Below are 22,922 nucleotides of genomic sequence, written 5' to 3'. Positions count from 1 at the left end.
GTTAAGCCACAGTAAGGTGGACTTCTGCCACATAGAGTGAAACCTAGTCCTAATTTTACTAGGCTGAGAAGAAACAGTCCTTTAACAAATATAGAGAATCTTCTGTGTGCCCAGTGCTGACAGGTGCAGAGAGAGTGAGCAACGCACACACGGCCCCTGCCCTCATGTAGCTCGCACATGATGGGGGTGACAGACAGCAGTGGACTAAGAAGTCGATTAGTTATTGATTATCATTGCATTGCTCTGAAGGAAATAAATGAAGTTCTGGAAAAGAGAATAATAGGAGAAGATGTACTTCCAGTGGGTGGTCCTAGGACTTGTGAGGAAGGATATTGAAGGGGGAGAGAGGGAGAAAAGAATGTTCCAGGAAAGCAGCACACACAAAGCCGCTGGGCAGGAACATTGGTGTTGAGGGAACTGAGAGGAGCCAGTGAGGTTGGAGCTGATGAGCAGGGAGGCAAGAGGTCCTGGCACAAGGCAGGAGAGGTAGACAGGGCCACTGGGCAGCACCTTGGGCCTTTTAAGAAGACCTCCATCTGGGGCCGGGTGCAGTGGCTCATGCCTATAATCCCAGCACTTTGGGAGGCCAAGGAAGTCAGATCACATGAGGTCAGGAGTTCGAAACCAGCCTGACCAACATGGAGAAACCCTGTCTCTACTAAAAATACAAAATTAGCCAGGCGTGGTGGCACATGCCTGTAATCCCAGCTACTCGGGAGGCTGAGGCAGGAGAATCACTTGAACCCGGGAGGCAGAGGTTGTGGTGAGCCAAGATCGCACCATGGGCAACAAGAACAAAACTCCGTCTCAAAAAAAAAAAAAGAAGACCTCCATCTGGACAGCAGTTTCAGCCTCAACTTTTGTGAGCTTAATGGCTGTACAGAGATCTGGCCAAGCTGGCTGTGAGAACAAGTTCCTCATCCCTGATCCTGCAGAGCCTTGGCCGTGAGTTGGGTTCAGGTTCTGAAGGCAGATGATGAGCTACCAGCCTGCAGGTCAGCCCAAACCCTGCCACTCAGGACCTGTGTGCCTTTCAGCAACCATCCTGTCTGAGCCTGAGTCACCTCCTTGGCTGAAAATAAGGACAGTAATAGTCCTGCCTCTGAGAGCTGTGAGGAGGCGACATGTTGAAACCCCTAATGCACTTGGCACCGTGCCTGGCACATTGTAAGTGCTAGAAAAGAGTTTATTTCGGCTTGGGAAGCTCATCAGAGCCCAAGGCCTCCTGCCCCTAGGCCAGTTCTTGTCCAATTTGGCATTCAAATCTCCTAGGCCCCACCCACTAGAGACTTGGATTTAGTAGGGCTGGGACTAAGCTCCCAGGTGATGTGATGCCTGTGGTCTGCAGACCACACTGCTTTAGGCTAGGGCCAAGGCAGCCCCCAGGAAGTACTCTAGAGAATGACTGGCCTCCCTCTGTGGCAGCCACCTCCAGCCCCAGTGGACAATGGCAGAGTGGGGAGACCCAAGGCCCAACTCCCCCCGGAAGACTGGAATATATTCTTCCCGGGAGGCAGGGGAACAGGGGTCAGTGGGTATTTGAAGATACCTCAGAACTCCTTGGGCAGTTGGTAAAAATGCAGATTTGGGGTGTCTGCCCCCAGATATTCTAATTCGGTCTGGAGATGGAACCAAATCCCTTCCTGTTAAACAAGTCTCCACGGATTCTGCTGCAGATGGGCCACCGGCTGCACTTGGACAAATGGTGACAGTGGTTTTGGAGTTTGACAAACCCAAGTTCAAATCTTTCTCAACAATTTTCTCTCCATTGTGGCCTTGTATGGCTTTTGAAACATCTCCGAACCTTGCTTTCCTTATCTAAAACAATGAACTTATTAATACCAGGAATACCCTCCCCAAGAGGATGAAATAAAAATAAAAATATTTGTATCGACAGCATAAAAGTTATAATCACAGACTCCACTGTGCAAAGGTATAACTGGCTTTATTTACCTCTAGCTTATATTAACTTAGCCCATGACCTCGAATTTCCACTAGCAGCAGAAAACTTTGGGTTGGAAATTCTAGCTCACTCAGACCAATTCCAGCTTTAAAAAAAAAAAGTCTCCTGTGGGAAACTTCAGCCAAAGTCAAGATTTTCTCCTCCTCTGCTGCTGGCTGTTCCCCTGAAGATGATCTGGGTTGTTCAGGGGTTAATTACCCTCACTTCCTCAGGGCTTCTATGTGGCACAGCTGGCCTTGGGCATCTGCATGCCCAGCCAATGCCCAGCCAGTGCCTGCTGTGCCACCATGACCACTGGCTGCACAGCCCCAGGTTTGGCCTTCTGGCCTCTATCCTAGGCCTCCTCACCTGCCAACCTTGTTTCTTTGCTCAGAGCTCTCCACAGCTGCACCAGCCCCATGGCTGCCTCTAATCCTCTGTCTAGTCTCCTTCTTCGGCCATTAGTCATTTGCTGCTTAGACACTATATTGGATATGAACCTTACTTGGGGTTTTGATCATCTCCCATCCCCTTCTTCTACCAAATGGCCCAAGCACTATCTCCTTTCACAGGCTGAATGGAAAGGGAGGCTAAGTTCATATACACTAGAGATAAATAAAGCAAGTTATGCCTTTACACAGTGGAGTCTGTGATGATAACTTTTATGCCTTCTACACAAATATTTTTGTTTCACTCTGTTTTCTTCCCTGTCTCCGTGCCCTCCAGGGGTTGGCTCTTGGCCATCCAGTTTTACACACACACACACGGACACACACACGCACATGCACACACGTGCACACACATGCACACACACACACGCACACACACAAACACACACACAGCCTGGCTCTTGCAAATGCAAGTCTTGCTCTCACGACTAATGTTTCTGCCTCAGACTTACACAACCTCATTTGGCTCTTCCTGTTTCTAGGGGTTATCTGCCTTCCTGAGGGCAGAGCAAACAGCCCTGCTATCCCTGCTGCATAGTACAGCCTGCCAGTCCCATCATTTCCCAGAAGGCAGCAGACAGAATGAAGAGGCAAAAGGTACAAGGAGGCCTGGGGCTGGGGGAAGGAGTCTTCTTAGTATCTCACGAGTGCCCCTTTAACTCTCTTAGGGGAAGTGCCTACTTAACACAGCTCAGGGATGACAACCAGGATGGTGTCGCTGATGATGATGATGAGAAGCTCTTCTTCCTGGATATGCGGTGCTTTGATGTGCTGGCTCTGACTAGCTCTGACCCTGTGTTCCCAAGACCCAGGGAGCCTTTGAGGACACCTCGGGGGGAGCAGGTCATAAGCCAATGACTCATTCGTGTTGGGTTGTGGGGTGAGTGGTAACCTCCAAAATGTGCTCCTGCTCCCTCCCTGCATGGGAAGTGAAGCCAACCGAGGCAGAGGTGGCCTGTCTGGGCCAACCTTTCCCTCAAGGTGGCAGAAATGCCCCCATCAGAAATGCTCTTTTAGAGCAAACATTGTCCCCTCCAGGAGCATCTTAAAATGTAAATATGCTGGGACAATGTGTGCCTTCTGTGTTCCGGGCCCTGAAAACACTGCAAGAGGAGAAAAGCTACAGCCTCTACCCCCTTATTTTCCTGAAGGTAGACTGGAGAGTGCAGAGGCTTCCCCCACATTTCAGGCTCCCCTGCGGAATGAGAAGCAGCCTCTCGTCCCCTTGTCAGTGCTGAGCCCATAGGGGTGGTAGCCAACACGAGAGGCAGCGAAGCCTGTTCAAACTTGTATTTATTTTCTAAGAGGTCGGGATGAGGGCATGGGGATGGGGATGCATAACTTGGGTTTCGGGAGGAGCCACAGACCTTGGGGAGAAGGATGGAGCCTCCTGCCCTCAGTCGTGCTGCTAGTAGGGGTGATTCAGGGTGTGCTCCATGATGGTCCGAAGCGCCATCCACGTCTCCTGGGCCGTGGGGATGATCTGTGTGGCCGGCAGCAGGAAGCCATACTGCCCAGTGTCCCGGAGCTCAAAGCTGAAGGCGTACTTGATGCCACTGTCATAGGCCCAGTCGACGGTGATCCCACTGGCCACATCTAGAAACAAAAGTTCCAAAATGTGCCCCACAAAAGGAAGAAGGGGATGTGGCTGCAAGGTACAGAGGCATCCTGGGTGGAAAGTGAGCCCTGGGAGCCAAACCCCCACCCACCCCAGGCCACACCAGGCTTCCTGCCCAGGCCTCAAACAGGATCACATCTGTGCACCCAGCCCATTCTCTACTCCTGCAAAAAGAAAGCTCCTGCAGGCTACTAGGCTTAGGAACCTTGCAGTAAGCCAGGCACTGGGAGCTGTGCACAAAAGCTGCCAAGAAACAGCTCCCTGGGTACCACTGTTCACCCTTCTATCCAGTGTGGGAGGCAGCTTTGGGCCAGCACAGCTAGATCCTTGGCACTGCCCTGCAGCCAGCCCCAGGTAGATGTGGTGTCTGAAGCAGGGCCAGGGGAGGCTCACTCACAGAGGGTGGTGCTGATGCTGCCAAAAATGTACTCGATCCCATGGACCTTATACAAGGCCTCCACCGCATCCTTGGCAAGATCGTACTGCAAGATGACATTGGCGGGGTGAAAGGCAGGGGCTCCCCGGGGCTCCCACACACTCCCCCACCCTCACCAGCTGGTGAGAAGCATGGATTTAGCAGTCCTGGAAGTTGAAGGTGGAGATGGCCCTTGTGAGAAGGGAGCACAGCATTTCCAGCTTTGAACTTGATCACACGTGAGAACAGCAAGCTCCCCCTACCCCACCCCCGCACCATGGGGTCAATCAGCCCAGACCCCTGCATTCAGAGTAACAACCTGAGCCCTCTGGGAGTATGACAGATATGGATTTTCCTGTGAAGCGGTCTCTTCTCCCCAGGCCCTAAGCAGCCAGTCTCACCAACTCCCTCTGATTTGAAACGGGCTCCAGCAATCGGCCGTAAGGGTACATAAGCATCTGAGAGTAGCTGTGGATGGAGATCAGAGCCTTGAAGTTGCCATGGGCTGTGATGAAGTTCACTATGGCAGCCACCTCCGGCTCCGACTGAGGGGAGGGCCCGTGATAAGTTTCTGAGCAGGGGTTGCTGTTAGAACCATTTCCTGGAAGTAAAATAAAGCCACCCAAAGAGTCAAATCCCCACGTGCGACACAGACGGTGCTCACAAAATACCTGTGTGTTCCCCTACATTTCCCAGCCTCCTTTGCAGTATGACTGAGGTCATGTGACTACTTTGACCAATGGAAAGGTGAGCAGAAATGACACGGCACTTCTGGGTTGAGATTGTTAAGAGCAAGTGTGACTTCTCCATGCTCTTTTCTGTCTGTGTGGCTGGAAGCAAAAAAAAAAAATTCTAGATAGAAACAGCCTCCTGGATCCCTCTCTCACTGCGGAAGAAAGCCGCCAAGGAGAGTCACCTGTTCATGTTGGACTTTGTGTGCATGAAAAACAAACTTTCATTGTGTTAAACCACTGAGATTGGGATGGATATTTGTTACTGCTGCATCCTCTAATCTAATATGTCAGAGGACTGCAGCCGCACCATACCCTGCAGTTCTGAAGCCCTGCAGGGAGCCCCCTCGGCTTGTCCTGTGGTCCCTTTAGGAAGGTGGGCCTGGCTCAGAAGTTGCATCCAGAGGAAACTGTAAGTCTCTGCCCCAACCCTGGCTTCCCCTAGTGAGCAGCAAATGCCTTTAGGCTGACCGTTCCTGGGTGTGCCATCAGTTGAGGGCTCAGACTCGGTGTCAGCTGAAGCTTTGCCACAGCCATGGCCCCAGGTGCGCCATGAACTTGGGGTCTGGGGATATGGGAAACCAATACGGGAGAATAGTTCCCCATAGTTGCCTGAGGCTGTTCTGGGAGCCAGAGGTGCAAAGAAGTCTTTGAAAATTCTTCTTGGGGACTTAAGATGAGGGAGAGAACAAAGAGGAGCAGGGCTTTTATTCTTTTCCCAAGTTTCATTTGTTTCCATTTCCCCCTGGACTCTTTGCCTTCGCCCCATCTCTGTCTTCCTCTTCTGCTCCTCCTCTGCTTTTCCCTTATTCCTGAGGGGAGGGTTGGGCTGTGCTGAGCTGGTCAAGACTTTGTAGGCTAAGGACACACTTGGAAGGAGTCATCCCAGTTTCTCCTCTCTCTCCTCTTCCCTGGAATGTTGGCACCGTCCAGAGATCAGGGATCGCCTCAACTTCTGAAGTCTCCTGAGGAGGCCACAGCATTCCTCTTGACTCCTGGGGCTGGGGGCTGGCCCATGGACCACTTCAGATGATGCTCTAGGAATGCAGCACACAGGTCCTCCCCAAGAATGCACAGGAGGCCAGGCACGGGTGGGAGGGATGGTCTACAGGTTACTCATTACACAGCCATTCAATTAAGGCAATAACAAAACCATAAACAAAATCATCCAGCCTGAGTCACCAACCCAGACACACACTCTTGCTGGCCCCAGGGAGGCCCAGGGAGCGCGCCCCTTCTCGGTTTGGTGGTCCTCACCTGGGATGGGGACCCTGGTTAGAAGGGGATGTGCCGGCAGAGCTAGGGGGTGAAAGGCAGCCCCCAGGCTGGAATCAGCCCATCTAACAGTGGCCTTGTTTGTTATGTCTGCCAGGAGCTCCTGCACCTGCTCCACTTGATGAATGACAAACAGCAACAGATGCGCAGAGCGGGGGGAGGTTGAAGGCTTTGTCTGCCTTTGCGGCCCACGCACAGAAAGCGGTTCCCCTGCCAACGACCAGGTGGCTTTGCCCAAATATGGAGAAACACTTTAGGCCATTAGTTCTGGTTTGAGCTAAGCAGAATAAACTAATCTTCCCCTGGCCAAATGGGAATTGGCTGCCTGCATCTCTGACGTTCACAGTCAAGGTCCTCTGAGTCCGCCTGTTTCACAAGTACCTGCTAATGGATTCATTAGCTATTTATTTTTCCTTCTCTAAAAATGTAATTTGTAGCAAGGGGAAATCTCTGGAAGGACATGGTAAATTATTAAAAGCAGTGATCTTTGAGTGGTGGGATTATGGGAGCTTTTTGCCCCCTCTGGGCTTTTTTCCATAATTGTTTTGTACACTGTGTGTATATGGATATTTTTTTTCCTGTGGTGAGACCCACAGAAGTTATTTTCTTTAAGAGGTAATTTATCTTTCTACTAGCCAGCCTATCTTGGGATCCATGGGTACTCACTCCAGTCAGTGCTGAGGGGCCACATGGATGCCCCCCCTGAGGCAAGCGTCTGTTCATTTGGAGGTGGAAATGCCTAATTTTGCATGGTCTTGTTCCATTACACAAGCAGTTACAACCCCCACGCTAGGGCCAGGGACCTCACTCTCAGTGCTTTGGGGCCATCCTTATTTTTCAGTGAGAACAGACCCCAAGAAGCCAGATTTTAAAAGCAATGGGCATCCAGATCTAAAATGTTCTATCTCATTGGTTGGGACACCAGCCTATAGGTCTGATTATCAACAGCAATGACACCGTCCCCTGTGGAGCCAAACCCTGAGCCCCCGGTGAAGTGCAGATGCCATGTCTGGGGGCCGAGGGCTGTGTCTGTTCTGGAATCTCTGTCATGACTGGACCCATCAAATTGTCCTGCCCATCAAATTGCTGTATTTCCAGGGTCCATGGACCTGTCTCTGAGCTTTCTGGAGGCCTCAATTTCCCAATCCCTGTGCCCCTTGCATGGTTAGGGAGATAATCAGGGAAGAACACCAAGGAACTCAGGAGAAAGCTGCCCCCTCCCCCTCACTGGGATCAGCCAGCTCTGCAGGTATGCACCAGGGTCATAAAGTAATGGGTCAAAAATAAAAATCAGGCTCAAGCCAGCCTTGTTGATAAAGAATTGGCTCAAGGCCAGGTGTGGTGGCTTATGCCTGTAATCCCAGCACTTTGGGTGGCCGAGGCGGCTGATTGACTTGAGCCCAAAAGTTCAAGATCAGCTGAGGGAACATGGTGAAACCACGTCTCTACAAAATTTTTTAAAAATACAAAAATTGGCTGGGCGCAGTGGCTCATGCCTGTAATTCCAGCATTTTGGGAGGCCGAGGTGAGTGGATCACCTGAAGTCAGGAGTTTGAGACCAGCCTGACCAATATGGGGAAATTCCATCTCTACTAAAAATACAAAAATTAGCCCAGCGTGGTGGTGGGCACCTGCAATCCCAGCTACTCAGGAGGCTGAGACAGGAGAATCATTTGAACCCAGGAGGCAGACATTGCAGTGAGCCAAGATCACGCCACTGCACTCCAGCCTGGGCAATGGAGCAAGACTCAGTCTCAAAACAAAAACAAAAATTAGCTGGGTGTGGTGGTGTGCACCTATGGTCCCGGCTACTTGGGAGGCTGAGGTGGGAGGATCACCTGAGCCCAGGAGGTCAAGGCTGCAGTGAGCCATGATCACACCACTGCACTCCAGCCTGGGTGACAGAGTGAGACCTTGTCTCAAAAAAAAGAAAACAAGAAAAAAAAGTGGTTAATTCTATTGGACACTTGAAACTATTGCCCTGGCCTCCCCAGAGGGCAGATTTCAGGTCCTAGCTCTCGGGGAAAGAGTTCAGAGGCATTTCTTCATGTTGTGCTCCCTTCAGGGCAGGGCTAGGGATATTTTAGGAGCACCATAAACTCTGGATTTTGAACAACAAGCAAGGCTACTTTGTACCTCCTTTAAGTCTTTCTCTGTCATATTTAGGATTTGACTCATGCAGTTAGTCCTCATTTCAGGAGCTGGGGCTCCCCTAACTGTTTCCCGTGAAGGTTTGGCACATGTGTACACTCAACACACACACACACAACCTCTCCCGTACCCACAGCCAGTCTGAGGTATGTGCTTGCCTGTCCCTGGCCGTGACTCATGCATATTAGCTGACTACATTGTCCCATGCCTCCCAAGTTGAGTCAACATAATCTGACTGAGTGGGAGAACCTGCCATGGGCCAACACCTCTTCTCCAACCCTGCCCCAGGACAGCAGGTTGCCATACCTCCAAAACCCGACTTCCAGTTCCTGTTGAGATCCACGCCGATGCAGAAGATTCCAGGTCTGATGGACTTGTTCTTCCGCCATAAGCGGTTCTGGGAAAGCCCAGGACAGGTGACCTCATTCACTGGGCCCATTCCCAGGGATGGGAGCCTCTGATATCCTGGCCTATGGGGGTAGGGGACCCTAGTGGGGCAGGGAGGAGCAAAGGGAAGGAATTGCCAGGACAGGATGGGGCTGGCATGGGGCTGGGCCAAAGATGCAGCTCAGATACTGTGCAGTTGAAGTCAGGGTCTAGGGAGAGGCCTGGGCACAGGCTGCCAATAGAGGCCTTCCCTGGGCAGCAAGAAAGAGGTCAGAGGGCAAGAGGCTGCAGGTGCAGTACCTGAGCAGCCCTCCTGCCCTTGGTGAGGGCTTCTGCAAAGAGGCTCTGAAGGGGCTGGTTCCCAAAGCACAGTGACCTTTTCTCCATCCCCCTAGAGCTGACCCCCTCCTTCCATCCTTCCCAGGTTCCCTCACCATGCTGTGGGTAAAAGCAAACCCATCAGGGTTTGTGACGAGCTCTATGAAGATGTCCATGGCATTCAGTATGTCTGTCAGGACACGGTCTTTGCCATAATCACTGACAATCTGCAAGAAAGAGTGAGGAGGGATGGGAGGCCCTACTGGGTCTCCTGGGAGGTGGCACAGGACATTTTCACAGCCAGTGGCTGCAGGAAGGGATGGCATGAAACCCCTGAGGTATATCTTTTATGCAGAACCAAAGGCTTGGATTTTAAACAACTAGAAGGCAGGGGATCAATGTGGGCTCCGTGCTGCAAAAGGTAAGAGTGCACGGTGGCTGCTCCAAAGGGCGGGATGGAGACAGCACCCTGAGTGTAACTGTTGAACTGAAGGTGCCCTTAAATAGTAAGTTCCTGCCCCCAGTTGCAGCCCCCATCGTGGGTGCACCTTGGCTACAGGTCCATGCTGACCTTATTGGCAGTCCAGATGCCGGTGGCATGGGTGATCCACTCCCGGGAGTGAATTCCAGTGTCAATCCAGATGGCTGGGTGCCGAGAACCTCCAGTGCTGAACTGAGAAAAAGAATCGGGCCCCAAACCGAGGTTTGAACTCAGACAGCTACTGTCTCTGGGCTACCTGGAAGGAGGTCCCTGAGGCATCCTCAGTGCCTGGGGCAGCTTTAAGCACTGGGTAAGAGGGTGTGTGTGCAGGTACCTGTCCATGTGCCCAAAAGTGCACACGTGTGAGGGCCTTTGAAAATATGGTGGTGCCATTGGCGAGCAAAGTGATCCATCCAGAAGCACAGAATTTCCCAGGATTGAAAGTATCTTAAGACCAGGGTTTCTCAAACTCTAATGGGCACATGAGTCTCCTGGGGATCTTATTCCAGTGCAGATTCTGACTTAGTAGGTCTGGGGAGGGGTCTGAGGTTTGGCATTTCTAATAAGCTCCCAGGTGATGTTGATGCTGCCATGCAGGGGCCGTGCTTTGAATAGCAAGGCTTCAGACAACATTAGAGAGAGAAGACCATGGCCCCTGGAGAAATGGAAGCAGGGACAGGTTAAGTCAAATCCCAAGTTAGGTGGGTCCACTTGGCTGCTCGGAGGAGCCCATCAGAGAATCGTTGAGAGCAGCAGCAGGCACCTGCCCTTCCTGACAGCTGATGCTAAACGCCCCGCAGGGTCCACACTCCCGGGTGCCCTTTTGGGCGCAAACTAAGAATTGCTTTCTGATGGGCTCTGCATTCACATCTCCTACTTCCTTCATGACCCAAGGAACTGCAGGGTCCTGAGTTGCTTGAATTCTGTTCCAGTGGCTCCTGTGAAGGGCTGGGAGGCTTCTCTATAGACTCAGGCATGTCTGTAGGGCTGTCTAAGCCAGATGACCTCATTAGCAAATGGGCCTTCTGTGTACCTCTCTTCCCATTGAACAGATGAAGCAACTGAGGTAATAGAACGCCAGCTCACCCACACTCACACCCCAAGTCCAGGGTGACAACTGCCAATCTGCAGCCCCAACTCCTTAGCCATCCTCCCACCTACTTCCTGACCAAGGACAGGCTAGGTCACCACACTGTCACCTCTTCATACTACAAGGGTGGATCTCTGAATGCCACAACCCCAAAGTTTATGGGTCACCTGGGGACAGGAGTAGACAAATTGTCCTTCTCCGCAAAACTCCCGCCCAGCCACTACCCCATATGAGATCAATCTTATGCCAGAGGCCCTCAAGGTAGAGTCTACAGGTTGACATTGTGGGCTTTTACCTTCAGGACAAGAATGGACTGGTTTTCAAAGCTGTTGCCAATCTGAATTTTTGAGACAATATCGGAATGCTCCATTACAAAGTTGTCAATCCAGCTATATATCTGAAAGGAAAGAAGTGTGTAAGATTGGCAGTTAAGCAGGAAGAGGGATGAACACTGGGGCCTCTCTGAATGTTCTCCCTGTCCCTTCCCACTCTCTTCAATGCTTTGGGTATTTAGACCCTCGAGGGTCTAAAAGAACCCAGATAAAGAATTGCAAAAATAGAGCACTCCCTCAGAGCTAAAGGAAGTGAGTTGTGATCTTGCTGGATTCCCAGGCTCCTTGCTCTGTGCAGAGCTATGCCTTTGCCTGGAAGAACAGTGTGTGCTGAGCCTGCTCAAATCCCCAGGCTTGACCCACATGGCTCTCTCTGGTTAGAAATTCTCTCTTGTCTCCATTCTTTGGCCCATTCAATCCGTTTGACAGATCTGACAGGCTTTGTAGTGTTGTTTTTATCTTCTCGCTCCTTTTAGACTGTAAGCCCCTTGAAGGCAGGGTTCTTGTTTTATTTATCTTTGGCATCAATAAATAGTGACAGACTGTATTATTTCATTCTCTTGTTCTTTCAATACATGTAATTGAATTAACAAATATATGAAAGAAAATGGATGCTCTATTGCATGACTTGTGAAGTGGGAAAAGCGATGATGATAATAGATGGATGGTATCAAGAAGGTCATGTCCTTTGACACGCAAAATGAGACGTGTGCCTTGAGTTCCTTTCTGGAGTGGGCATCCCTGCACCCTCTGTGTACATTCTCCTTTATAAACAAGTCACTTACCCTGGCTGGCTCTAACTGTGGTCATGAACTTTCTCCAAGTGAAGGCACCTCCCTTTTATTCTACAAACATGGCTGTCCAATGTGCCTGGCTTCCTGCCCCTCATATTATATACCCCAGCACCCATGGCTGGGGCCACTGAACACAAGGACTGGTCACGGGCTGAGAGCCCTAGGTCCCTAGCTGGAGGATTGGATATGTGTAAGAGTTAAAGAAAGAGGAAAGAAACACAAAATGTGGCTTCACAGTCAAGGACAAGTTTATTTTAGAGAAATAAACCCAGGAGGGGCTTCTGGCTGATTTTTGTCCTTTTTATAACTATAAGGACTGGATTTAGGCAGTTTTTTAATCCAGGGGAACTTAGAATGGTGGTGTTTGTTCAAGATGGCGACGCTCCTGCTCTGTCAAGATGAAGGTAGCTTCTACCTGCTCTATTCTGGCCCATAATGGGTCCCTGCGTTAGTGTTCTGCCTAGTAGACCCATTACTCTGCTCTGTACCTGTCTAGGGCTGTACAGTTGAACTACTGTCCCCTCTATCTGAATTCTGGCTTCCAGATCTCTTTGAATATGACTCTCTGCCTAACAGACCTTAACCTAATGTCTGCTGTACAGTCCCTAAGTGTCAGTCACAGTTTCCCATAAACCCTGGAGTCCTTCACTAGTTTCTGACTGAGTCAGGAGACCCTAAGGGGCCCAAAGACACAAGAGAGCCCAGAGCTTGCCCGGCCAGACCTACCTCCTCCAGGGTGTGGTATGATGAGTAACTGAAGCTGTTGGTGCTGCGCTCCAGCCGGCGGGATTTCGCCATGGCCTGTCTTTCCTCATCCAGCAGCACCTGGGTGATGGGGAACACATATTGGAAAGGAAGGGGAGAGCTGGGCTGGCTATGCCTCTTCTGAGCCCTGCCTCCACTGGCTGTGCATAAAGACAGCAGCAACACAGGAGAATGAGCCACCATGAGTGTGAACTGCACAACAGAAGGAAGGTCCAGGTTGCTGGCTGATTCTTCTGCCTGGCAAGCTGGCAGTCATGCTGCCATTTCCCAAATGATCACAGGGCAAGGAGTCCAGAGAGCTGGGTTCTAGGTCTGCCTCTGCCACTAACTGGCTGTGGAATTTACTGTGGCCTTAGTTTCCTCAGCTTGAAAATTGGGAAAGCAATATCTGCCTTGCCACCTCATAGGATAAAATGTAATAATGGATTTGAAGGTGTTTTTGGGGGAAAAAAGGTGCTCACAGTCTACTGCCAACATTGCTTTTGCACTTAATAAACACTCTGTTGAGTCAGGACCCAAGGTGAACCATGTGCACTGACCCCCCTGGGGGAAGCAGAGGGTTCCTCTGACCCCCAACATTAACTCCACTTCTAGGAAACAGCCTAGACAACTGGTATCCAAGCCATTCAGAAAGCCAGGCATGGCCAAAGTCAGTCCAAATCAATATGATTAATGTGCCAATGGTCTTTCACTTATCTCCTAAACACAAGTCTTGATGAGCCAAAAGCAATGTCCTTGGGTATCAACGTGGAGTCAAGCATTCAAGCCTTACATGGTACTTCCCGCTGCCCATACAGAGGGCAGTATAATGCCTGGTTGGGTTAACCACTCACTCACTGCTCAGACCACCTACATAATCTTGGGACATTTTTCTCTGCTTGGGTCACAGTGAGATGAGCTAGTGTCCTTCACCCAAGCCCATGCCCTTATAATGGCATCCAGGAGCCAAGGCACCCCAGGATTCAGCACAGACTGTCCAGTGTGGGAAGTACTCAGGTCGTCTGCCACAGAGGATGCTGAGAAAGCATCCTCATTAACGCGAGTTGCCCTTTGTTTGCAGCACTGGGCCACAACTAAGTCTTGCTGATAACTTATTTGGGGCTAGAGCCTTAGTTGACCAAGCTTCTTTATGTTCATGATCTCACTTGATCTGGTCAGATGACCTGAAAACAGGACAGAAATGAGCTATTTCTGTTTTAGAGCTAAAGCAGATTGGAGTGGTAAAGGGACTTAATGGCAAAGCTAACAAGTGGTGGAGGTGAGATAAGAACCAGGCATTCTAGTCTGTACCCTTGGGTTCCTTAAGGCCAACTATCAAAACTAAAGGCCAACAGTAATAACACATATGCAGGTTGGGCATGGTGGCTCACACCTGTAAACGCAGCACTTTGGGAGTCCAAGGCAGGAGGGTCGCTGGAGCCCAGGAGTTTGAGACCAGCCTGGGCAACAAAGCAAGGCCCCATCTCTACAAAAAATTAAAATTAAAAAATTAGTCAGGCTTGGTGACGCATGCCCGCAGTCCCATCTACTTAAGCTGAGGCAGGAGGACTGCTTGAGCCCGGGAGTTGGAGGCTAGAGTGAGCTATGATTGAGAGTGAGTTATGATCGTACCACTGTACTCCAGGCTGGGCAACAGAGTGACACCCTATTTCTAAACACACACACACACACACACACACACACACACACACACACAGAGGCACAAAAACACACACATACACAGATATGTTTATGTCTGTGTGTATGCATATGTGTGTAGACAGAAAGAGCATGCAAGTGTTAACAACAGCTAAAAACTCCATTGTACTATTCTTTCAATTTGAAAGATTTTTACAATGATGAAAACTCAAGGACCCCTGAGCATAAGAATGCAAGATACTAAAATCCCAAAAATATAAACCAAAATATTCGCAATGCCTGCTAAGATAGAAGAAGGCAGATTTGGAGTAAATTTTTTCTATCCTCTATTTTTACATTTTGGCAATGTGCTTATACTACTTCAATAAGAACTTTTTTTTTTTTTTTGAGATGGAATTTCTCTCTTCTTGGCCAGGCTGGAGTACAGTGGCGTGATCTCGCCTCACCGCAACCTCTGCCTCCCAGGTTCAAGCGATTCTCCTGCCTCTGCCTCCCGAGTAGCTGGGATTACAGGTATGCACCACCACGCCTGGCTAATTTTTTGTATTTTTAGTAGAAACAGGGTTTCTCCATGTTGGTCAGGCTGGTCTTGAACTCCCAACCTCAGGTGATGCACCCACCTCAGCCCAGAACTTTTAAATGAATAAATAATAGCAAAACCAAAAGCCCTAATGGCTGCTGTGGAGTCTTCCACCCCCGTCAGGAAGAGCGGTGTCCCTCCCCGCCCCACCTGCCACAGATGAGGCAATGCCTAATGACTCACTCATCCCCGAGGCCTAGTTGGCTTGCTTACAACGTTCAGGTTCATAGATTTAAAAATGGGACTGGAAATTGATGTTTGGGGCTCACTTTATTTTTGAGCACCAACTCCATGCGAGGCAATTACAGTTGCGATGTTTTCCAGCTGCACTAGCTGGCCAGGGGCAAAGCTGGGATTGCTGGGTAAGTTAGATGTGGCCGGAGGAGCCCCGGTCCTCTCTGGCCCTTCACAAACACTTCTGGGAAGCTCTAACAAAAGGAATTTGTCTTCTTCCCAGGAAGCTGACCCAAATCTCAACAGCCTACCATGACCAATGTGTGCCAGCCACTGTGTGCCTGGTGCCATCAGCTGTGACGAGCAGCTGCAAGGAAGACAGCAGCCTGCCAGCTGTGAGGACAAGGCAAAGGGTCTCCAAGGATCTGGTGGAAGCCTGAAGTTGGGGTGAAAGTGGAGGACAGGGAGGAGAAATCGGAAAAAGAAAGGACTAGAAGACTCAATTTTCCCTACACAGCCTGGGACACCCACAGGAAGACAGGACCCAGGAGGCTGTCCTTTGTTCCACACAAGAGCTTGGAGGCAAATGGGAAGTCAGCACCAAACTGCAAATAACTTTCCAGACACCCTCACAGCCTTGTGAATGGAGGTGACACCCTCTTTCAAACTGGGAATTCTCAGCCCTCACAGCTGGCCCCACTTCCAGGAACAGGAATCTGCCTTGGCCTGGAAAATGCACCAGCGTTTGCTCCATTCCTGGGGCTGGGGGAAGGGGATGGGTGACGGAAGAATGCGGTCAGGCCACAGGCTGAGGAATGCCTAATGACAGCCCTGTCAGGCTTCTCAGGAAAAAACAACAAAACAAAGAAACCAACCAACTCAGAAGTAAGCCATCTGCCTCCCTGGAAGCCATAACCTGACAGGGAAAGTAATACCTCAGTGTGAATTAATTTACGATGAGTCAAGGAAGGATGGGGGCCCTAAGGGAAGAACAGTCCTCCCGGGTTGGGCAGGGGAGGAGGTAGCAGGGCCCCAGTGCTGAAGCTGAGGCGGAGGAGAGCAGATCTCTCACAGCCGAACTCCAGCCACAGATGCAAAATGGACGCAGCTCATGGAAACAGAGTGGGTTGGGGGCTCTGGGACAGCAGCCGCTGCCTCTCCTCCCACGTTCCTGGCCTTCTCTTCCAGGTCTAACATCTGCAGTAGCAGCTATGTGGCCAGTAGCAACTCCAGTCCTGTGGCACTGGATGTGGGGGGTGGCTGCTGATCTGAAGTTTTCAGAATGGACCCCCTCAGAGGTCAAGGCCAAACCACAAGGCTTCCCTGTCTAAAAGGCAAAGTTAAAGTGCCACACAGACAACAGTGATGACCACTGAGGGGACAGATGCCTTGAGAGTGGAGTCTGAGGGTGCGGGAGCTCAGGTTAAACCCTGATCCTGCCACCAACTCCATCAAATTACTAACATCTCTGTGCCTCAGTTTCCCCATTGTAAAATGGAGGTCATGTTATCACATACTTTATCACATACTTTAAAATGTTCTCATGAGAGCCAGGCGCAGTGGCTGACACCTGTAATCCCAGCACTTTGGGATGCCAAGGCAGATGGATCACTTGAGGCCTCCGGAGTTCAAGACTGGCCTGGCCAACATGGCAAAACCCTGTCTCTACTAAAAATACAAAAATCAGCCAGGCGTGGTGGCGCGCGCCTGTAAGCCCAGCTACTTGGGAAACTGAGGCAGGAGAATTGCTTGAACCCAGGAGGCGGAGGTTGCAGTTAGGGGCGATTGTGCCACTGCACTCCAGCCTGGGCGACAGAGCAAGACTCCATCACACAAACACACACACACACACACACACACCAATGTTCTCATGAGGATTAGAAGGGTTAATACATGCTAAATGCTTAGACTTTTGCCAGGCATGTAGTAAATGCTAGTGAATGTTAGCTATGATGATGAGGAGGAGTGTGACAATGATAAGGAGGGTGATAATAACTTTGGGGTGACTCCAGGGCTCTGTGATGGAGCATTACAAGGCATGACCAGGAAGTCTGGGTTTCTCCAGAGGTAGGATAGCTTCTGTAGGACTTGGAGGGCAGAAAGCCCCCATTAATGGTCATCTGGGGGAGTCAGTCAGCACCTGACTTTCATGGGGCCCAACAGAGGGGCCTGGGTCCTCTTCTTCTGTCCCTACCCCCATGATGCAGGCAGCCTCCATCTCTCTTAGGGTCTTGCCCATCACTGCTGCTGTCTTCCCTGGCTTCTCCTGCAATCTTTCCTGTTGTCTTCTTCTCCTCTCTGGAGCTGCCACTCACCCACAGACCAGCCAACAGCATTTCTACCTTTAAAACTCTGCTATTCAAGCCAGGCATGGTGGTGCACGCCTGCAGTCCCAGCCATTCGGGAGGCTGAGGCAGGAGGATCTCTTGAGCCCAGGCGTTCAAGGCTGCAGTACGCTATGACTGTGCCTGTGAATAGCCACTTTACTCCACCCTGGGCAATATAACAAAACCCCATCTTAAAAAACAAAAACAAACAAACAAAAAAACCTCTCGTGGTTCACGCCTATGATCCCTGCACTTTGGGAGGCTGAGGCAGGTGGATCACTTGAGGCCAGGAGTTTGGGACCAGCCTGGCCAACATGGTGAAACCCTGTCTCTACTTTAAAAAAAAAATTAATAATAATAATACAAAAATTGGCCAGGGGTGGTGGTGTGTGCCTGTAATCCAAGCTACTCGGGAGGCTGAGGCATGAGAATTGCTTGAGCCTGGGAGGTGGAGGCTGCAGTGAGCCGAGATCATGCCACTGTACTCCAGCCTGGGTGAGGGAGTGAGACCCTGTCTCAAAAAGAAAACAAATAAACAAATAAAAACTGTACTCTTCAGCTAGCAAGATAATAATTTAAAGAAGTAAAGAATTAAATTATATAAGCAATGAGAAAAAGGTAAATGTCAACAAGAGTGAAATGGGAAAGAAAGAGGAAGTTGGAGAAGTGGGGAAGAAGGGTACAATTTAAAATAAGATGAGCAGTCTGGCGTGGTGGCTCACACCTGTAATTTCAGCACTTTGGGAGCTCGAGGTTGGCGGGTTGCCTGAGCCCAGGAGTTCAAGAGCAGCCTGGGCAACATAATCAGACCCCATCTCTACAAAAAATACAAAAATTAGCTGGGTATGGTGACATGGGCCTGTAGTCCCAGGGCCTGTACTTAGAAGGCTGAGGCGAGAGGATGGAGTGAGCCTGGGAGTTCGAGGCTGCAGTGAGCCATGATCGTGCCACTGCACTTAAGCCTAGACAACAGAGTGAGATCTTGTCTCAAAATAAATAAATACAATAAAATGAAAAGCCTTATGACCATTGCAAGGGCTTTGGCTTCTACTCCAAATTAGTTGGGTTTTAAGCAGAGGAACAACATGCTTGAATTTGCAATAGTTTTAAAGGACTCTTCTGGCTGCTGTTTTGAGATTAGGTAATAAGGAATCAAGGTGGAGAATGGGGGAGAGCAGTTAGAAAGCAACTGGAAGAACCCAGGTGAGGGACGAGATGGCGCATGGGCCCTCGGGGGTGGTGTGGGATGTGCTAAGATCCATTCTGAAGGCAGCGATAAATCTGTTGTTGATGGGGAGTTTGAGGAAGGGGTCAAGAATGGCTCCCAGCTTCTGGTCTGAGTGACTGGAAGGATGGTGTTGCCATTTCCTGAGATAAAGAGGGCTGTGGAGGCACCGATGAAGGGCCAGGGGAGCTTGGTCTGGACCTGGAAAGTTGGAGATGCCCATTGCACCCCCAGGTGGAAACACTGAGTAGGCGGTTGGATCCAGGAGAGGAGGTGCTGGCTGGAGACAGAACACAGAAGTCCTGGATGCCAGGGGAAGAGACAGGCTCCAGGAAGGAGAGAGTGACCAGTTGTGCTGTTGGAAGAGGAACATTGAGAGTCGGCCATCGGGTTGGATCTGGAAGTTGCGTGTGACATTGTCGAGGGAAGCTTTGGTGAAGTGAGGGGGTGGGCAGCCTGCTGGCGGACAGGGATGGAGATGACAGGGAGAGTCAGTATTTTCAGGAGTTTCAGTCTATGGGGAAGCATAAAAATGGGGTGATGGCTGGAGGGGAGAGGGAAGGGATCAAGAGAGGGTTTTTTTAAATGGGAGAAATAACTGTATTTGCATGGTGATGAGAGTGATCCACTAGGGCGAGGGAAATTGGCAACGCAGTATTTACACTCAATTGTATTCTGCTCTAGATGGTCAGAGTATGGGTGATTTTTGTTTTCTCCTTGTGCTTTCCACTATTTTCCAAATTATCTAACATGAATATTTATTAATTTTGTAATCAGAAAAAAAGCCATTAAAAGCCACAGAGCTGATTGCTCAAGTGAAGTTTTTCCATGGTGACTCATCCTAGGGAAAAAATAAAAAAAAAAACCAAAGGGCTGAAAAGAACGAGGTGAAGAAAAATTAAATGCAAATAGAGCTCGCTCGGAATCAGATAATTTCTTGCCTGGCCCACTGCAATTTCCTCACCACCCTCCTGCCTGTCAGTCTCTCCCTGGTCCTGTCCCCAACTCAACACTGTCACTGTCAGGGTGGTGTTTCTGAAATGCAAATCTGATCATGTGAAAGCACCTCCCATGACTCCCCCCTAGTTGTCAGGATAAAATCCTGACCTCGTCACATGGTGGAGGGCACTCTTTGTGATGGGGTCTGGCTTCATCACCAATCGGGGTGGGGGCCCCCCTTCCTCTGGCCAGCCCCCCCTCACCTGCTCTTCAGCGCACCGTAATTACCGCCTTCTCAGAAGCACGGCGTGCAGTGCCTCTTGTATGCGCTCCCATAGCAACCGCCCTCACTCCATCAGTCGCTCATCCACTCCATTGTAACCACCGATTTACCCCCCTCCATCCCCGGCCCCCGCGACCCTCCAGCTGTCCTGGATACAGGGCCAAGTTTTTTATCTCTGTGTTTCCAGCCCCTTGCCCGATGCACAGCACACAGTAGGGCTCTCTGTGTCTGGGAGTGGAATGAATGGCCCTGCCTCATGTTTCTCAAGCATCCCTCTGATCACAGGGCAGAGGGAGGGAGAGATTCCAAAATCTCCCCTGCCTCTGGCCAAAGTAAAAACCAGCATCGAGGTTTTCCAGCCTGGTCCTAGCCACCAAACACGACCACTCCTCTTTCCTTTCCTCCTCCTAATGAATGTCTATTAGTTCCACTGACATTTATCAAGCCTCAACGAAGCAGCAGGTCCTATGGTAGGTACTGGGGTAGGAAGATTGACACGGAGCGTGGAGCTGAACCTTGGCTGAGGGGAGGGGGCCAGAGGAACAAAGACCCACATGTGAATAAGGTTGTGCCTGTCCTGAACTCCCCAACCGAGCAAGTCATTCAGCAGACAACCGCAGAGGGCCCACCCTGCAGGGGACATTGCCAAGTACTTGGCTGAGGGGATCCAGAGGACAGGGAGACAATCGGGCCCGTGCATCTGTATCTGAAATACAAGACTGGACGCCAGCAACCCAAGGGGTGCAAAGCTCTTCCCGTCCTGTTAGCAAATCTCAGCTTCCCTCCTCCTGGACCCCTCCCCATCATCAATCCCTCAACACATCAACACATCAGCCACCCCACCCCCAGCTCCCTCTAAGCCAAAATATGATCTCAAGTATGGCAGCGAGTGCTTGATCCCTGCAGGAAGAGCGAGTTGGTGAAAATCCTGCCTGGCTGGATCAAGGTTAAGAGGTCAGAGCATTTTCCTGAGAGGGAGGGCAAAGCCCTAGAGGGACTCGGGGCTGCGGATGTGGGGAGAGGACAGGCTAAATCCAGTGGGGGAGGCTCAGAGGGGACTCTGGGGCCGTCCCTGATGTGCAGAAATCAACAGAAAGTTTTTAGAGACCTCTGTGTGTCTGTTTGCCAAATGCTGCGGAGTTCCCAGGGTGGGGCTGAACCAGGGAAATGGAAACTTCAAAACAGAGGCCTGGCTAAAAATGAGAATTCAGTTCTATTTCTTTTGATGTGGTAGCCTCTTTTGTCTGCGGGAGTTTCCCCATTTTTGTTTGTGGGGGATTTCATTAGAGAAATATCCCACCCCCACACGTTGAGCGGGAAACAGATGTGCCTGATGAGGGATAAAGGTCTTTGAAAGGACCAAAGTTCCCCAGCCCTGTGCTCGCATGGGAACGGAATGCTGCCTGATGCGTTGATCCCCTGACATACGGTGTCAAGTGTGTGCGCTCCGGGAGGCTCTGTGTTCCCACAGTCGGAGCCCTTAGGGGAGATTAGCGCCATACAACAAGGTTGGGAATGAATCTTTATGGATACAGTTCCACAGGTACACGGCCAGCAGCAAGCAGCTGCAGAAAGATGCAGCCGGGGAGGCTTAACCAATGAGTGGTACCCACAAAGATCTCTAGGAAGGAGGCTGTGCTACCAGCACGTTTCAGGGGCTCTTTAGGATATACTGGAAAATAGAACAATTGAAATAGAATTTCATGACGTTCAGAAAAGATGCAGGGAAAGCAGCAGGGAGACTGGGGTGTCCAGGATGAAGGCTACCTTTGTCCTACCCAAGAGCAGGTCTGTAGCTGCTTCTCCCAAAGCGGTTCCTCTGGGAGAATGCTGCCTGGGGGGATGCCCCGTGCGGAGAGCCAAGCGGTGGAGGTTGGGGGAAGTGAACCACAGCAGTGCTCTGAACCACACAATGCTCTTTCACCATTTCCCAATCCTCTGAAGTAAAGCCGTTCCCCCAGGCATTGGATGGCTGAGACACAGCGGGAACAGGAGGGAGTGGTCAGATAAGCAAAGGAAGAAGCTATCCAGAGGCACCTTCCCACGGTGCCTGGGGAAGACCCCAGCTACATCCTCCTGTCTCCCTTCTCCCCGCACCTTTGCTGTTTATTAGCTGCAAATCCCTCCCCAGGAGGACTCATCACAGGCGTCCTCTCCACTCCCACACTGTGAGTGCTTCCCCCATGAATCCTGTCCTAGCTTCAGATTCTGAGAAGCGTGCGGCTCACTTCCTTCCACAGCATGTTCACAAACACGCTGATGGAGACCCAGAAACCACATGTCCACTTTTAGCCCCGAGAACATCTCCTCCATGTTGGGCCCCAACCAGAAAGGAAGGCGGAAGGCAGGGTCCCAGCTGGGGCAGGGCTTCACCTGGATGTCCTTTATCATGATGCTGTAAGCAAGTCCATGAGACTCCAGATAAGCTTTGATGTCTTTCAGTTCAGAGAAAGGAACTCTCATATCCACAGGGAGGCTGGGCCTGGCTGGGCCACGCCAGAAGTCCACCTTGTTCACCAAGGAAAGAGAGAGAGCTGCATTACTCCATGTCCTTCCACACAATCCTGTAGGTGACCACAGAGAGCCAGAGAATCTCTCAGCCAGTAGAGACCCTCTTTCTACGCAGGAGATGGGGACGGGGGTGTGATGTCCCAAAGCCCCTCAGCGGATGCCTGAAACAGCAGATAGTACTGAACCCTAGACTATGCTCTTTCCTATACAAACAGATTTGGGATACAGGTTTTTTTGTAATTTTTAATTTTTGTGGGTACGTAGTAGGTGTATATATTTCTGGGGTATATGGGATATTTTGATACAGGTATACAATGTGTAATGATCACATCAGGGCAAATGAGGTATCTATCACTCAAGCACGTATTCTTTGTGTTACAGACAATCCAAGTACTCCAAGTACACTCTTTTAGTTATTTTAAAATATACAATTAAATTATTATTGACAATAGTCACCCTGTTGTGCTATTAAATACTAGATTTTATTCACTCTTTCT

General features: G+C 50.4%; 1 protein-coding gene and 2 long non-coding RNA genes across 20 annotated transcripts in view, besides 5 other annotated features; 2 read left to right on the top strand and 1 right to left on the bottom strand.

Moving 5' to 3' along the window:
* Positions 1 to 22,922, bottom strand: part of CPA5 (carboxypeptidase A5) — a 29,784-nt gene that overhangs the window by 2,203 nt on the left and 4,659 nt on the right. For 13 of the 18 annotated variants that reach the window (XM_047421035.1, XM_047421036.1, XM_024447000.2 and 10 more), the window contains 9 exons: positions 22,288 to 22,422; positions 12,710 to 12,808; positions 11,153 to 11,254; positions 9,858 to 9,959; positions 9,403 to 9,513; positions 8,888 to 8,978; positions 4,826 to 5,025; positions 4,407 to 4,491; positions 3,667 to 3,987 (listed from right to left, as the gene is read on the bottom strand). In XM_047421035.1, the coding sequence (XP_047276991.1) occupies positions 3,800 to 3,987; positions 4,407 to 4,491; positions 4,826 to 5,025; positions 8,888 to 8,978; positions 9,403 to 9,513; positions 9,858 to 9,959; positions 11,153 to 11,254; positions 12,710 to 12,808; positions 22,288 to 22,422 (1,113 nt within the window). In that variant the 3' untranslated portion in view covers positions 3,667 to 3,799. Of the gene's footprint in view, positions 1 to 1,549; positions 1,689 to 3,666; positions 3,988 to 4,406; positions 4,492 to 4,825; positions 5,026 to 6,011; positions 6,193 to 8,887; positions 8,979 to 9,402; positions 9,514 to 9,857; positions 9,960 to 11,152; positions 11,255 to 12,709; positions 12,809 to 22,287; positions 22,423 to 22,922 lie in introns of those variants that run through there. The other 5 variants (XM_047421038.1, NM_001127442.2, XR_007060171.1 and 2 more) reach the window with 4 other exon arrangements.
* Positions 5,270 to 6,747, top strand: LOC105375504 (uncharacterized). The gene is made up of 2 exons (NR_133928.1): positions 5,270 to 5,567; positions 6,528 to 6,747. It is a non-coding gene; the product is annotated as an uncharacterized LOC105375504 (long non-coding RNA).
* Positions 6,290 to 6,339: a silencer, noted in NCBI's record as "silent region_18645". NCBI's record gives its function as "represses an Ori minimal core promoter by ATAC-STARR-seq in GM12878 lymphoblastoid cells {active_cell/tissue: GM12878}" and the evidence as "EXISTENCE:reporter gene assay evidence [ECO:0000049][PMID:35858748]".
* Positions 6,410 to 6,911: an enhancer, noted in NCBI's record as "H3K4me1 hESC enhancer chr7:130005327-130005828 (GRCh37/hg19 assembly coordinates)". NCBI's record gives its function as "activates a minimal SCP1, AML or CMV promoter by ChIP-STARR-seq in naive H9 embryonic stem cells {active_cell/tissue: H9 hESC(naive)}" and the evidence as "EXISTENCE:reporter gene assay evidence [ECO:0000049][PMID:30033119]".
* Positions 19,503 to 20,149: an enhancer, noted in NCBI's record as "H3K4me1 hESC enhancer chr7:129992089-129992735 (GRCh37/hg19 assembly coordinates)". NCBI's record gives its function as "activates a minimal SCP1, AML or CMV promoter by ChIP-STARR-seq in primed H9 embryonic stem cells {active_cell/tissue: H9 hESC(primed)}" and the evidence as "EXISTENCE:reporter gene assay evidence [ECO:0000049][PMID:30033119]".
* Positions 20,766 to 22,922, top strand: part of LOC105375503 (uncharacterized) — a 32,989-nt gene continuing 30,832 nt past the window's right edge. Inside the window, exon 1 of the long non-coding RNA XR_001745362.2 lies at positions 20,766 to 20,868. This is a non-coding gene — a long non-coding RNA (uncharacterized LOC105375503). The remainder of the gene's footprint in view (positions 20,869 to 22,922) is intronic.
* Positions 20,987 to 21,336: an enhancer, noted in NCBI's record as "active region_26654". NCBI's record gives its function as "activates an Ori minimal core promoter by ATAC-STARR-seq in GM12878 lymphoblastoid cells {active_cell/tissue: GM12878}" and the evidence as "EXISTENCE:reporter gene assay evidence [ECO:0000049][PMID:35858748]".
* Positions 21,347 to 21,396: an enhancer, noted in NCBI's record as "active region_26653". NCBI's record gives its function as "activates an Ori minimal core promoter by ATAC-STARR-seq in GM12878 lymphoblastoid cells {active_cell/tissue: GM12878}" and the evidence as "EXISTENCE:reporter gene assay evidence [ECO:0000049][PMID:35858748]".

Source organism: Homo sapiens, chromosome 7 (assembly GCF_000001405.40).
Source record: "Homo sapiens chromosome 7, GRCh38.p14 Primary Assembly".
NCBI classification, from domain to species: Eukaryota; Metazoa; Chordata; class Mammalia; order Primates; family Hominidae; genus Homo; species Homo sapiens.
This window is presented reverse-complemented; position numbering and strand designations above follow the sequence as displayed.